General features: G+C 38.4%; 2 protein-coding genes across 22 annotated transcripts in view; one reads left to right on the forward strand and one right to left on the reverse strand.

The window, feature by feature from the left end:
• PACRGL (parkin coregulated like) overlaps positions 1-14,329 on the forward strand; it is a 71,092-nt gene that overhangs the window by 50,165 nt on the left and 6,598 nt on the right. For 9 of the 14 annotated variants that reach the window (NR_133933.2, XR_925302.3, XR_001741142.3 and 6 more), the window contains one exon: positions 6,119-6,454. The exons of 1 other annotated variant lie outside the window; for it this stretch is intronic. The gene's annotated coding sequence lies outside the window, so the exon portion shown is untranslated. Of the gene's footprint in view, positions 1-6,118; positions 6,455-14,329 lie in introns of those variants that run through there. 4 more of the 14 variants (XR_925303.4, XR_925306.3, XR_007096364.1 and 1 more) reach the window with 1 other exon arrangement.
• The window catches only part of KCNIP4 (potassium voltage-gated channel interacting protein 4), a 1,220,167-nt gene that overhangs the window by 17,841 nt on the left and 1,187,997 nt on the right, over positions 1-14,329 (reverse strand). For all 8 annotated transcript variants that reach the window (NM_147181.4, NM_025221.6, NM_147182.4 and 5 more), the window contains 2 exons: positions 12,375-12,444; positions 3,216-3,286 (listed from right to left, as the gene is read on the reverse strand). In NM_147181.4, the coding sequence (NP_671710.1) occupies positions 3,216-3,286; positions 12,375-12,444 (141 nt within the window). The remainder of the gene's footprint in view (positions 1-3,215; positions 3,287-12,374; positions 12,445-14,329) is intronic.

Genomic DNA, 14,329 nt, shown 5'->3' on the forward strand with positions numbered 1-14,329 from the left:
ACCACCATGGCACGTGTATACCTATGTGACAAAAATGCACACTCTGCACATGTATCCCAGAACTTAAAGTATAATTAAAAAAAAAATCCCCCAACTGATAACTGCTATAGTTAACATCTAATAACTACTGAGCACATATTTGGTGCCAGACACAGAGCCAAGCCCTTTACTGACATTATGACTTTTTCATTTTTACATTATCTTATTAAGTAGCTTTGATTGCTGATGTTTTAGCAGTATGAATGCTAAGGTTAAGAAGGTTAAGTACTCAGCCTAGGGTCTCAGAGCCGCTGGGTGGCAAAATGGAGATTAGATCCCATCATACCAAATCCAGGGCCCCTCCTATCATATTTCTTCTGCCTTTCAGGTTTAAGCAAATTAAGTGGAAAACTCCCATTACCCTTTATCGTAGAATCAGATGGTCTCTCTACTGTACCTCTCAGTATGCTATTGCTATTATTCAAAATGTGTTCATTCCCTAACCATTTCTATTTTCTAGAGATTTCCCAGGTAGCTAATCAATTTAGAAAAGTAACTGCAACAGCCTAGTTTTAAATTTGATTTTCATTCAAACTTTATTAATTTAGCCATTAGTTTTCATTTAAAAGGAAAGGCATTTTACCAACATGCATATCATATATAATCATTACAACTAATTTCCCAAATTATAATCAACGTTCATTGCAATTACTGGTATTTTACATAAATATTATAAAAGCAATGTTATGCATGGTTCCATATCATTAACACCATACTAAATTTACATATAAAATTGGATATAATGTGCCCTAGGAAATTGGTGGTATATTTCTGACACATAAGTAATTTCAAGTAATGGAGTCACTAATAGTTTTTGCCTTACTCATCCTCTGGAAGCCAGCTATAAAAGTTTATATTAGGTGAACTATATTAGGTAAAACCTTTGGCTTCTATATTATAGATAAATTAAGACTGTGCTGGAATTAAACTTGTTTCTAAAGTGAAGCAAACACAAACACAACATTATCATGAAATGACCAAAGTTACTATCATGGAGTGACCTAAGCTGCCATTAGCAAAAGAAACATTGTGGAGACTGGTACCCAGGATAGTCTTCCCCCAACCATCTCCTCTCCCTCCACTAACTGCTTCTACACCCAGGATAAACCTGCCTGCCCCATCTTGACTTAGTTCATTCCCTCACCTTAGTTCATTCCTTCTCCACTCTCAGCTTTTATTTTTCTCTTCTCAGTGCTATTTCTCACTTAAGTTATGGGAGATGACCTTTTGGGATTCCTGGCCCAGAATCTTCGCAGTTGTGGTACCCAGTCTGCATGAGCATGGAGTATGTGTGAGGAGGCTCTTGCCTGCCCTGTTCATCCTGCCCCTGTGGTGACTGGCTGGATGACATTGCAGAAAGCTGCACCCTATTTTTTTCATCTTGACTCCACAAAGCCATTTCACCCAGATAGCTGCCTACGCCCATATGAACTTTTCTTTTAAACATGACAGTTCTGTTGGAATACAATTCTACCAATTTTGTTTTAATTTCTTTTGAATTTGTTTCATGCTTCACCTCCAATACCTTTACTGGAGTTCAGGCTTTTATCAGACCCTGTCTGCACTCTTGCAATACTTAGCTGCTAATTACACTCCATGTTTCCAGGAATATAGCTCTGATAAATTCACATCCCTGCCAAAAATTCTACAAAGGCTCCTCATCTCCTACAAGATAGTCCAATCTCCTGCCTAAGACATGTCAACTTCTGGCCTCTATCTCCTTCCCCAACCTTCGCTCTTGGCTCTCCAATTGTGTATTCTATCTTCTTGATGATTTACACGTTTCCCTTGGTTCCCAGGCCTGATATACTCTGTCCAGCCTCTGCCCCACTCTCCATTGCTTCCCATCCCATTCCAAGCCTTTGTTCTCTTAAGGAGCTCCTGACTGTCCTTTAGACAGTCCATCAGTTGCACTGAGCAGGCTTCCCTGCTACAGCCCCTTTTGTGCCAGTACCATTTCCTTGCTGGCCTCATTCATCATCTGCTTCCCTTTATCAGAGCTCTCATCAAAATTTCTGCTCATATTTAAGATGCATCCTTCCTCACTTCCAAAAATAAATGCACCTTCCAAATTTTATATATATATATATATATATATATATATATATATATATATATATTCCATAAGTAAATATAAATGTATATATGGAAAAGAGAAACTGGAATCACAAAGCAAAATATGTATAATGCTACTTCTGAGACCAAGCACAACCCAATCAGAATGTAACAAATAAATGAGGTATACATTTCTCACATATTTTCCCTAACAAAAATAAAAGCCTTCACAGCTGATCAGAGTTCATGTTGGGTTTATTCTCCTAATGTTTAAATCAATATACTACAATTTATGATCTGCTATTTACCATTTGAATCATATGAATTACGTGTGTGTGTGTATGTGTGTGTGTGTATATATATATATATATATATATGAAATACATATATAAGCTATGTAAATATCTAGGACATTTTATTTTACTAGGTGTTTATACACAGTAGTTCATGAAGGAAATTAAATACTTTCTAGCTGGGCGTGGTGGCACGGGCCTGTAATCCCAGCTACTCAGGAGGCTGAGACAGGAGAATCACTTGAACCTGGGAGGCAGAGGTTGCAGTGAGCTGAGATTGTGCCACTGCACTCCAGCCTTTATGACAGAGCGAGACTCTTTCAAAAAAAAAAAAAAAAATACGTTCTCTACAGATCACTTAAAGTTTGTAATTTAAAAAGAGATTTCCTCGTAGAATTGTCAGGCTGGTGAATGTAGTCTTTTTCTACATTTAATTTCTTGCCTGTGTGCCCCACTTACTGAGACTTCCATAACAGGACTTTTGACTTTATCATCTTTGTATTTCCAAGGTCTACCACAGCAACTGGCCCATAAGGAGGTGTCAGTAACTGTTAGTTAACTCATTTGCCTTCCAGGACTTTTCACATGTAATTGAAGAAGTGGACTCTCCTTGTATGAGCCGATATAAAGCATTAGAAAATAAACTGAATGTGGCTTGCAATTTGTACATCTTTTGAAAGATAATTTTTGGCAATTACATGAGAGAAAGGGAGTGTCCTTGGGCTTTCTTTCCCCTGAGCAAAAATAATCATCACCAAACTCACATTTTCCCCCTAAAAAGACTAAACTCTAAATAGTCAAATGATATGAAAATAATCCAGAGCTTACCTCGAAACTCACAGCTCCATTGTGGTCTGTATCAAATGCATTGAACAGAAAATGTGCATATGTTGTAGAGTCTGAAATGGTAAAAAGGGAGTATCATTAAGTCAGTGTTTCCATATCCTACATAAGACTTGGATAGCAGTCCAAGCTTCCTTTGATCCAGAAGAATTAACTCTGCCTCCTTTAGTTTGTGCTTTCTTCACAACTGCTTACCCTCTTTCTGTAGAGGACTAGAGTTTGAGATTCACAGGAAGAAGCAACCTACATAGAGGCCATTGGTGACAAACATTCTCTATGAGTTTCTGGCTGGCAATGCTGTAGTCTTGGGTGATGAGATTAACACTGGGACAAGAAATGGTCCCATAGGTGGATGTGAAGATTGAGACTTGTCTGGAATTTGCTTAGTGTTTGGAAGAGACCATCTCTAGAAGTAAAGTACTAAAAATACTACCAATGAGACAGAGATGAGTTGCTATTATTAGTGTCTCTGTCATTATTAGAACTTTCATCATTGTTACAACTCAGAAAATGATATTGGGAATTAGAGAAGGTGAAAAACATACCCAAAGTCACACAGTGAAGAAGGAGTAAATCTGGGACATGAACTTAGGTCTTTCTGACTCTGAGAACCAGGCTAGCCCTCAGCCAGTACCAGGCTAGCCCACAGGCAGTAAAGTTGGCTGATGGATTGGGGTCATTGGTGACTTGGGAAGTTTCTGTGGCTGTGTTGGAAGGGGACTGGGTGGTCCTACATGTTCCTAGTTGTATGAAGTTGCATGAAGTAGGGAGCCCCTACTCTGTCTGGGTCCTGGGTGGGATTCAAGGATCTGGGTAATGATGGACAGGTATGTCTTCTGAAGTCTAACAGGTGTTCTTAGTTTGCTTCTATTGGGTATTCTTCCCCTCTCATTTTTCCTTCCTTCCTTTCCTGTTTCTCCGTTGTCTCCTTAATCTCTGGGCTTTCTGCCATTTCATTTAAAAGTCTGTATTTTTTCCTTATTGTTTTCTGTTCTGAGTGCCTAGCTTTCATTCCTTAGGGTTTCTTTGCTTGACCCTTGATAAAATTTACATTATTATTTTCAGTGTTGCATCTCATGGGCTTTAGCCTTTTATCTTAACCTTTTTTGTCTTTTCAAAATAAAATGGTAACCTTTTAGCTCATTGGCTCTAGCCTTTTATCTTCTGTTTTAAATCTCATCTATTTCTATTTTATAACTTTTAACCTTTATTGGGTTTTAACTTATCATTGATTTAATTTTTACTTTATGAATTGCTTTTTATAGGCTGTCAAGAAGCTAAGTCATAGTAACAGGAGTACAGAATTGCCCTCTGAGGAGGCCATCTAAATTTCTCTCCTGGCTCTCAGGGCTCACGGCCTCCTTACAGGTTGTTTTTCCCGAATGCTTCAGTGTAGTAATTAACACTACTGAAGGCTATACATTTCATGAGGTAGACTGTACACTCAATTTCTCAAAATGACAGTGGCATCTTCGCTCATCTCTCACCTTTTTAATATGCTATGAAGAACTACTTATCTTTGAACACAGGAATTACCAGCACCGTTTTCAGTGAACTAACCAAGAACCAAAATTGGGTCTAAATAACATGTAACACTGTGACATCTAGAGTGGATATCCATCCAGTATTGATACATTGCAGGAAGAAATTCTTTTGCATATGGAGCCAGGAGTTTAATTACCATAAACTTAGTTCTGTTGTTGGGAAGCTCCATTATAGAGTTATCAAGAATTGGCAGCCTATTTCAACTTGCAAAGTTGTTTTACTCTCAGCAGTACTTTTTCATGTACTTCTTGAACTATATAGTGCCCTCTGGAGATGTGAATTGATCGATGGTGTGTTGAACTGATTTTCAGAGGAGGAAAAAAAAAAGAGATTTTGCATATTTTATAATGAGCTTCATTAAGCAAGTCTCTAGTTACCCTGTTTTCACAATCAGAGTAAATGCCTTTACCTTAGCAAGCAGTACTCACCATAAATAATGGCTCAAAACAACGATGTTTGCTATTTTTTTAATCAAAAAGAAAAAAGATAACATGGGTATATGATAATTACTATTCTTCTCAAATGGAGTTTTTCTAGCTTAAAGCTTGATATGTGGGAATTATGCTTTCAAGGTTTACACTAATGTGGTACAGAGGACATCCTGTTCTTCTAAATGTGCCTCTGCAGTTCTTTTAGAAGTTACAGCGGCTTCCCAGTCTAGACAATCTATGCACAGAGGTTTTGATAATAGCATAGTGGAGTCAGACTGCCTGAATTTCAATCTCAGCTTCACCAGAGATTAACTGCATGACCTCAAGCAAGTTGTTTTACCTTTGTGTGGCTCAGTTTCCTCATCTACAAAATGATAACAATATCAGTATGTACTTCATAGAGTTTTTTTTTTTTTTTTTTTTGAGACAAAGTACTGCTCTTGTCCCCCAGGCTGGAGTGCAATGGCACGATCTCGGGTCACTGCAGCCTCCACCTCCTGGGTTCAAGCGATTCTCCTGCCTCAGCCTCCTGAGTAGCTGGGATTACAGGCACCTGCCACCATGCCCGGCGAATTTTTGTATGTTTAGTAGAGACAGGGTTTCATCACGTTGGCCAGACTGGTCTCGAACTCCTGACAGCAGGTGATCAGCCTGCCTCAGCCTCCCAAAGTGCTGGGATTACAGGTGTGAGCCACCATGCCCAGCCTTCATAGAGATCTTACTAAGTTTAAATGAGACACTATTTGCAAAGTGTTTAGAAATAATCCTATATACTTATTAAAATTTCAGTAAATATTAGCTATTATTATTTCCTAGGCAAGCCACTTTTATTTCAACTACCTTAAACACATGTGATCAAATCTTTTACAAACGTAACATCTTTTCACCTTAAATAACTTGCTGTTTTTGTAGGATTTCTGTTGTGTGTCTAGGTGACGAGTTCTAATTTAATGCAATTTTCTGCTCAATAAAAGACAAGATAATTATGTCCTAAAAATCAATGGTCCTTCTGATGGAGTTTGGATTTCTTCTGGCAAGCACTTGAAGACAGTGGAAAGTTTTAAAGAAGAGGAGTGAAGCCACTGGCTTTGACTGGGTGAGAGAAAGAAGCAAAGGCAAAGGAATGTCCAGCTAGGCAGAAAACTGGATAAAATGACGAAAAGAGAAACTGTCTACAAAAGCATCTATGGTTCTGGTTTTACTCAACTGTGTTCTTAAGCACTCAATAAATATTTGTTAAAAGAGTGATTAACTGACTTCTTGGAATCTAGATTTCAGTACAGTCCAGGGCTTAAAAGATATAACAATGATCTCCCTTCTCCGTCTATGACCTCTTCGTGATCACATTCCTTTACATAACAAAAATAGTTACTGAGTTTGTTAAGCTGGGATTGCCTCAGTTTCTTATAATTTTACTTGTGAAGCTGAAAAATAAATGTTGAGATTTTATAGTTGAGCAACAAAATTTACAGATTCTTAGGGTGGGAAGACATTTTGGATACTATTTAGCATTGTATTTACATTGAACAAAGGTAAAAATAGGGACTTGTAGTGACATACTGAGGTCACCTAGTTAGTTCATGGTAAAGTTGGCAATGGAATCAAGATATTCCTATACCATCTCTTAGAAATCGAGGATACTAGAGTAGAAAAAACCCCTAGGATTCCTTTGGTGTGACTCCTGCATTTTATAGAGGAACAACTTGAGGCTAAGAAAAGTAAACTACTCGAGGTTACATACCTTGGTGGTGGCAGTCTATCCACAAACTCTGAACTTAGTCCAAAGTTCTTAACCCAATTATATCGAGAACACAGTGAATATAGCAAGTAACCCTAGAGTTCGTTCTTCATAGTATTTGAACAAACACACTTGATTATCATGCCCCAGGTTTGTAGAATGAAATCAATCTGGTTTATTTCTTTTTCCTTTCCCACACCCCTACTCCCATTGAATTCAAGCACGAGGAATAGAATCACCTTCATGTATTTGAATATACAATTCATGACATCGTTACTATGGTAAGACAAGTTCATATGTGTGAATAGTAGCTTCTGTCAATAAGCCCTCTGTAAATCACCCTGAAAATTGTTAGAAATACTGTCCTAGGACAAGAAGGATACTCAGTGGGTGAAGTCTTTTTTAAATTTTATTTTAATCTTTATGTCTACAGAACTCATCTGACTCAAGTGACTTGCATACAGCGGCTGCTTAAAAAATGTTTATTGACAGATTATTCTGACTTGAGCTCATTTGTTCATTCATTCATTCATTCATTCATTCATTCAACAACTGTTTATTATATGCCTAGTGTAGACAACATAAGTGCATTCCTACAACATGAGCAGGAATAGCCCAGGAAACTATGATTTTTATGGGCTTTAAAAATGTTTAGTGAACTAAAAGCTTACACACTAAAGCTTCTGTTGTATGTGGAGTTTAAGAAGTTTTTGTGTAACCATATAGGCAATAGCACCAACAAACCGTTTCCTCTCTGCTTGCCTTACAGTAGGCATACTTTATCCCCTGCCAACAAGAGGCTTTTGTTCAATCCAGTTTTTTCTGACATCCAGCTCACCAAACAAGTTGGGTTTGATAAACTGTTTCACAAAGCAATAGAGAAAGCTAACAGCCTGACACAATACAAATTGCAGAGAGTTCTGTAGATAAGACAAAGCACTTTCCTGGAGGAAATGGTGAGATGTTGTGATTTATGGACCCATCAATGTTACTGTTCATAATGAGAAAAACTGTTGCATTCAGACCATCATCCTGAATAAAGGATGACTCCGTGGAAGTGTAAGGATGGCCATCACATGAATTCGCCTGCCATCAGAGATCACATTCTTCCTTAGGACATTTTTCCTTTTCTGGCCTTATGTAAGAAACAATTTGTATGTATGATATTAATTTTTAAAAATGCAAAGCAAATCATAATTCTTTAAAATATTTCATTTCCTTCAGCGATGCCTCATGTGGTCAGATTTCTGCATTCAATTAACATGAATAATGAAATAATTGTTAAGAGTGTAACAGTAATTTTTTCTCAAATCCCTAATCCCTTTGGATTTTGTGATAGGAATCCTTTGCAAAATAGATGTGCTCTGTTTAAGAAGATGTTCTCTAATGCAGAAATGTTATTTTTCAAATAAAGATATAATTTTAATGTGGAGCTCTATCCAAGTTTTAGTATGTAATAACTTGATTTGAAATGATTGAAAAATAACTTAAAGATTTTCATCTGCATTGGTGCTTTGATATTAATGCCTATTAAGATGTTGGTAGGCACTCAGATAGTAAATATAATTTTTCTTTAAAAAATCCATGGGTTTTAAACAATTTAGAAAAACATGAGGTAGTTAATTAATTCCCCAAATTAATCTCTCATTAATGCAGACAGTGAACTCATTATAATCCTGGCATCAGGTACTATTACCAATACCTGTCTGTGGTTTGTTAGAAGGGCCCTCCCCTCTGCACTGTAGTAATGAGATGGGGTGGGAGAGTTGTCATCCAAAGTATATCCAAATTCACTTAATAACAGTCTTCCTGTGTTTTCTTAGAATTCTAATTTAATTCTTTTAAAAGTCCACCGAAAACAAAAATTTGTTTTGACATGTTAGGCACAAAATTGTTTTAAATCCACTAAACTAGCTAAAACCAAATGGATTAAAACCCCAAAGGAAATCTGACTTTTGTATGAAACAACTAATACTTAAGTGCTGTACACTTTTCAAAGAGCCTTTTACAGATATTATTCCACTGTACAGTGATAGCCAGCCACCATGTGAGGTGGGTGTCATTCATTCATTCATGCAAAAAGCATTTATCAAGTGCTATTACTTGTCAGCCACTGTCCCATGACCTGTGGATACAACAGTAAACAAAGTGGAGAAATCCTCTGTTCCCCTGGAGCTGACATTCTAGTGGAGAGAAAGAAACAACAATGGTACAAGTGAAATATATATTATTGGATTGTCTCGAGTGCCGAAAAGAGACATAAAGCAGGGGAAGGGGATGGGGAATGTTTAAGGTGTTGCAATTTAAGATAGAGTGGTCAGGGCAAGTCTCACTGAGAAGGTGGCATTGGCGTAAATGCAAAGGTGATGAGATATTGAGATAGATATTTGGGAGAAGATAATTTCAGGCAGAGGGAACAGCAGGTTCAAAGGCCCAGGAGCAGCATCATGGCTGGTGTGCTGGTGGGATGGCAAGGGGGCCACTGTGGCTGGGTGGGGTAAGTTGGGTGGGAGAATGGTAGAGGATAAGGCAGAGAAGGGACAAGAGACAGTAGCCACCATTTGTAGGCCACTCTGTAGGTTGTGGCTTATGTTCTATGGAATGGTATGGTTTCGAACAGGCAGTAACATGATTTGCTTGCATTTTAACGGGATCACTCTGACTCATTTTAAGAGTAGACCATGGTTAGGGGAGGGGTCATCAGAATCAGAGAAGTCAGTTTGGAGACTACTGTGTTTATTTTGGCAGGAGATAACGGTGGCTCCTTTAAGTGGAAAGTAGTAAAAAAAAAAAAAGTGTTGGCAAGGTCAATGGCAAAGTCAACTCTGGCCATAATAACAGAGAGAAACAGTTGTCCCCTATATTGAGTAGATGTCAAAGTTGAAAGGAAGTACTAGATGGTTCCCTCTTGTCTTGAGATAAAACCTTCTTCCTGAACTCCCGATTCATGGACTCCACTATCCCATCGCATCACTATCTTTTTCCTCCAATTCTGAATCCTATTTATCTCTTTTCTTTTCTATCCTAAAGCTATTAACATCTCCTTCTTTACCAGTCTTCCCTGTGTATAAACAATGTCCAGTCTTTTCTACATTAAAAGATAAAGTCTTCCACTGGTATCTACCCAGCACTATGATCAGTTTCCTCATCACTTCACTCTTCCAGCAAAGCTTTTTGTAAGTGCTGTCTCTATTGGTTGTCGCTGTTTTCTTCTCATCGTCCTTTTCACCCTCTGCAATTTGGCTTCTGCTTGTGCGCTCCACTCCCTAGTAGTTCATCCAGGGCACTTGGGCTGTCCTGATCATGCCCAACAATGACTCCCATGTTGCCACATCCCAAAGAGACCTTCTGATCCTTACCTTACTGGACTTCATCATTTCATTTCTGAACTATCTATCTCTCTTGTGTTTATTTCCATAAACTGTTCATTCTCTGTCTCCTTTGTTGATCCCTTTTCCTTATGGTTCTTGACATGTGTTCTGGAGTTTCATGCTGGCCTCATGGAGCTTGCAACCTTTTATAATTCCCCCAGTAACCTCATCTACATCATGGATTTAACCACTACTTCTTGATTAATAATTCTCAAATCTCTATCTCTTTCTCTGACTTGTCCTCTGAGCCTCACATTTGTGCCAACTTCTTGTTGAGTCTAAATCCCCACAGGCACCTCAGATGTAATTTGTCCAAAACTGAGATCATTATCGCCCTATTCCTCCTGTAAAGAGTCACCTGGTGTCCATGATGGAATCCTGGAAGGTATCACAAACTCCTCTCTTCATCTCTTTATGCCACAAAAAGTTAGTTCATCACTAAATTCTTCCATTTTTGTCATCTAAATATGTCTGTAATCTGTCCCCACTTCTCATTTTCTCCTATGCATATACTTATTTAAAGACCTTATTGTTTTGCCTCCTACAGCAGTAATCTTCTAATTAGTCTCCCTGCCTGCAGTATTGCTGACCTCAAGTTAATCTTCCACTGACCTATCAGTGAAATGTATCCCAAACACAAATCAAATCTGACTGTAAAAGATCCCACTTAAACTTATCAGTGGCTTTGCATCACCTCAAGGATAAAGTCCCATTTCTTCATATGGCATCCTTGACTCTCTAGGACATTTCACCCTCCATTGTACACTCTCTACCCTAGCCACACCCAAATCCTGGCAATTTCCTGCAAATGCCCATCTTCAGTTCTATGCTCTGACCCTTTGTTTACACCCCATTTGCCTAAAATGTCATGTCCCTACTGCCTTTTAAAGCGGGAAGACATCATACTCAGAAGTGAACTTCTCCTGAGAGGTATAATGGGAGAGCGAAAGACTATACACTTTGGAAATGGATCAAACTCTCTGCACCTTAGTTTCCACGTGTGTATCTTTAAAAAAATGAGGATTATAGGTAGGGTTGTTGGATGGTGAGGCATGCCAGGGACAGGCACATATTAGATGCTTTCTGAATGGCAACAACTTCAGCTCAGGTTCAACTCATCTGGAGAGTCTCTTTTTATGTCCTCTCTGTCCTGCAGCTAATTTAATCATGCCAGCACTGTGCTCTCAGAATATTATTTTTTAACTCCCATAATCACAGTTATACTTGAGTTTGACATTGTCCATCTGCTACACTAGGTATAACATTCTTTTGGGCAGAGATTACATCCTATTCCTCTTAATTCCCCCTACGTGATCAGCACCTCATGCATGGCTAGGCACACCATAGGCTGTGGGACAAATATAAGTTGGGCATCTGTTAGGTAATTGAAAGAAAAACTATAAGGTCCAATGGCAAGAATATCTTTTCACTCATCTCTAACATGCATGTATTATCATTACGCTATCCTTGTGTTTTCTTTCCAATTAAAATAATATCTAGGATGGTTTTAATTTTCTCAGATGAGGGAGCACAGTAAAGAATTACTGAAAGAAAGAGGAACAGCAGAAAATATACAAGGGGAGGCTGCAGAAAATCTAGGTTATAACCCAGATCTGCCACTGAGTCAATATGTGGCCCTGAGCAAACCATTTACCTTCTCCAATCCCCAGATTTCATATCTATAAATTGAGGATAATTACATTTTTCCTAATTTTCAGAGTTGGGAGAATCAAGTGAGACCTACAATGCATGTGAATGAGCTTTGTGGCATTTTTGAGCACCCTCATAATAGTCAGAAAACATTGTGCATTTGAGAGCCACAGTACTGGGCACACAGTAATAGTTGTATTAAACTAAAGAGCAGCCTCTTGGATATTTGATAATTTCTAAGTCGCTGGCTTTTATGGTACATTAAAAATTATATACACTTGCATGCTGTGCATTAATTCTTTTACATAACGATTAAAAATGTAGCATCATGCTATGAAAAATTAAACTCAACACTGCAAGCATAATTGTAACTCTGATAGTATGTTAACAAGTCCACATTTGTACTTACCTCCCTGTGGAAAGAACTGCGAGTAAATCTCTTTGAAGGTTTCTTCATTAACAACACCACTGGGGCATTCCTAGGGAAAGTGGCAGAGAAGCAATATGAGCAAAGTGTTCATAAAACTGAATTTTTTTTGCACATTTTGAAACAGAACTGTCTACCATGCAAAGCTGCACCAAGAAAATTAACCATTCATCCATTATTACAAAGGGAATAAAAGCACACTATAAACTTATGTTTGTTCCAGTTCTCACAAGAAAAAAAAACGTAGATGTAAATATCTTTGCATATTGAGTATCAAAGTAGGTGTAATGTATTCAGAAACACAGTGCTGCTTTTAAGAACACATATGTTTATTATAAAGTAAAAGGAAATTGCATTATTTTTCACACAGCAAGCATGTTGCAAGATGTTTATAATATAGTCTTTGGTGAATCTTGGTTTTGTCCTTTCAAGGTTTTCTGAACTCACATAATCTTCGATTCAATGGCAGAATTACTCTATTGGCATCTCTAGTGGCTCAAGAAGCTTCAACCAGTAATAGATACTAATGCTTGTTAACAGGATGTCTAGGCATACCCAAGACATGGTTTTGTAACAAGTGACCTTGGGTGAGATAGAACCCCATATTTTTGAACTTCCGGAAAGGAGAGTCTGCAAAGAAATGGCCTGGCCTGGGCTTAATAGATCCCCACCTTTGTCCCTGGGTCAACTTGTCAAAGAATGATGGACATTGATCTTGGGAACTACACCCATGTTGGACAACTGACCTGGAGGGGCCACAGGGCAAGGTTAGCCCTCTGAGAGTGGTTTTGGCATTTTTGCTAATAAAAAAAAGAAAAAAAGAAACTTTAAAGTGTCAGAAGGGGGCTGCCTTGGTGCAGAATATAAGGTTTGAGCAAGCAAATTGTCCCCCAATCTCTGGAAATTCCTCCATTTTTTGGAGTTATAAGAACCAGTGTGGTTAAGAATTTAGGCGTAGAGGCCCCTTGAGTGGTGGAGACTGACAATCACATGATAGCCCAGAATTGAATCATGTGAGATATTAACTGTATGGTGATCCCTTGTTATCCTTGGGGCATTGCTTCCAGGACCACCGCGGATACCAAAATCCATGCACATTCAAGTCCCACACTTGGCACTGCAGAACCTGCAGATAAGAGAAGTTGGTCCTTCCTATCCTGTATCTTTGATCTGCATTTGGCAGTGGATGCTGAAGCTGCAAATTCAGAGGGGCGACTATATTTATTGACAAAAATCCACATATAAGTGGACCCACACACTTCCAACTAGTGTTGTTCAAGAGTCAACTGCACATTGTAAGTGGAGAAGTGGTAAGTTCTGTTTAGTCTCTTTTAGTAGATTCTCATGAACAGTCCCATGTGATCAGAGCTCCCCTGACTCTAGTTGTCACAGCACTCCCACGCCACCTAACGTCCACCCAGGACTAAGTTCACTGGGGAAGGATGAATGGTGTGCTAACTCCCCAACAGACCTGACTTTAGACATGAATATTCTGTGTACTCTAAATTTGATACTGTTTCCAGCATCTTTATCAATCACCTATGGTAGTATTTAAAACATCACTTAACCCTTAAAATCATTGTTCCCTCACTAATAAACTTACTTTCTTTATTCCAGTGAGTCAGTTACTCAACTGTAATGTGCTTCACCTGCAGAATTTTCTATTTTCTCATTTGTTGTTTTGAAAGGTAGGACCTTTGATACATAAACAGTGTTAACAGTTTCAATGTGAATTTGTGTTTACAGAGCTTCTCGATATGGTTTTATCCCATTTGTTAATGATGAGCTTAGGTAGGCAAAATAGCTGCATTCACAGAGGCAGAACTGGAGGTGCTGAGTGGCAAAGCACTTTGTTACACACTAAGCCAGTGGGGAAGCTGGAATGTGGGCTTGGAACTCTCCAGGTCATGACAAGGTTTCGTATTAGATGACCCCTG

This window comes from Homo sapiens, chromosome 4 (genome assembly GCF_000001405.40).
Source record: "Homo sapiens chromosome 4, GRCh38.p14 Primary Assembly".
NCBI lineage: Eukaryota > Metazoa > Chordata > Mammalia > Primates > Hominidae > Homo > Homo sapiens.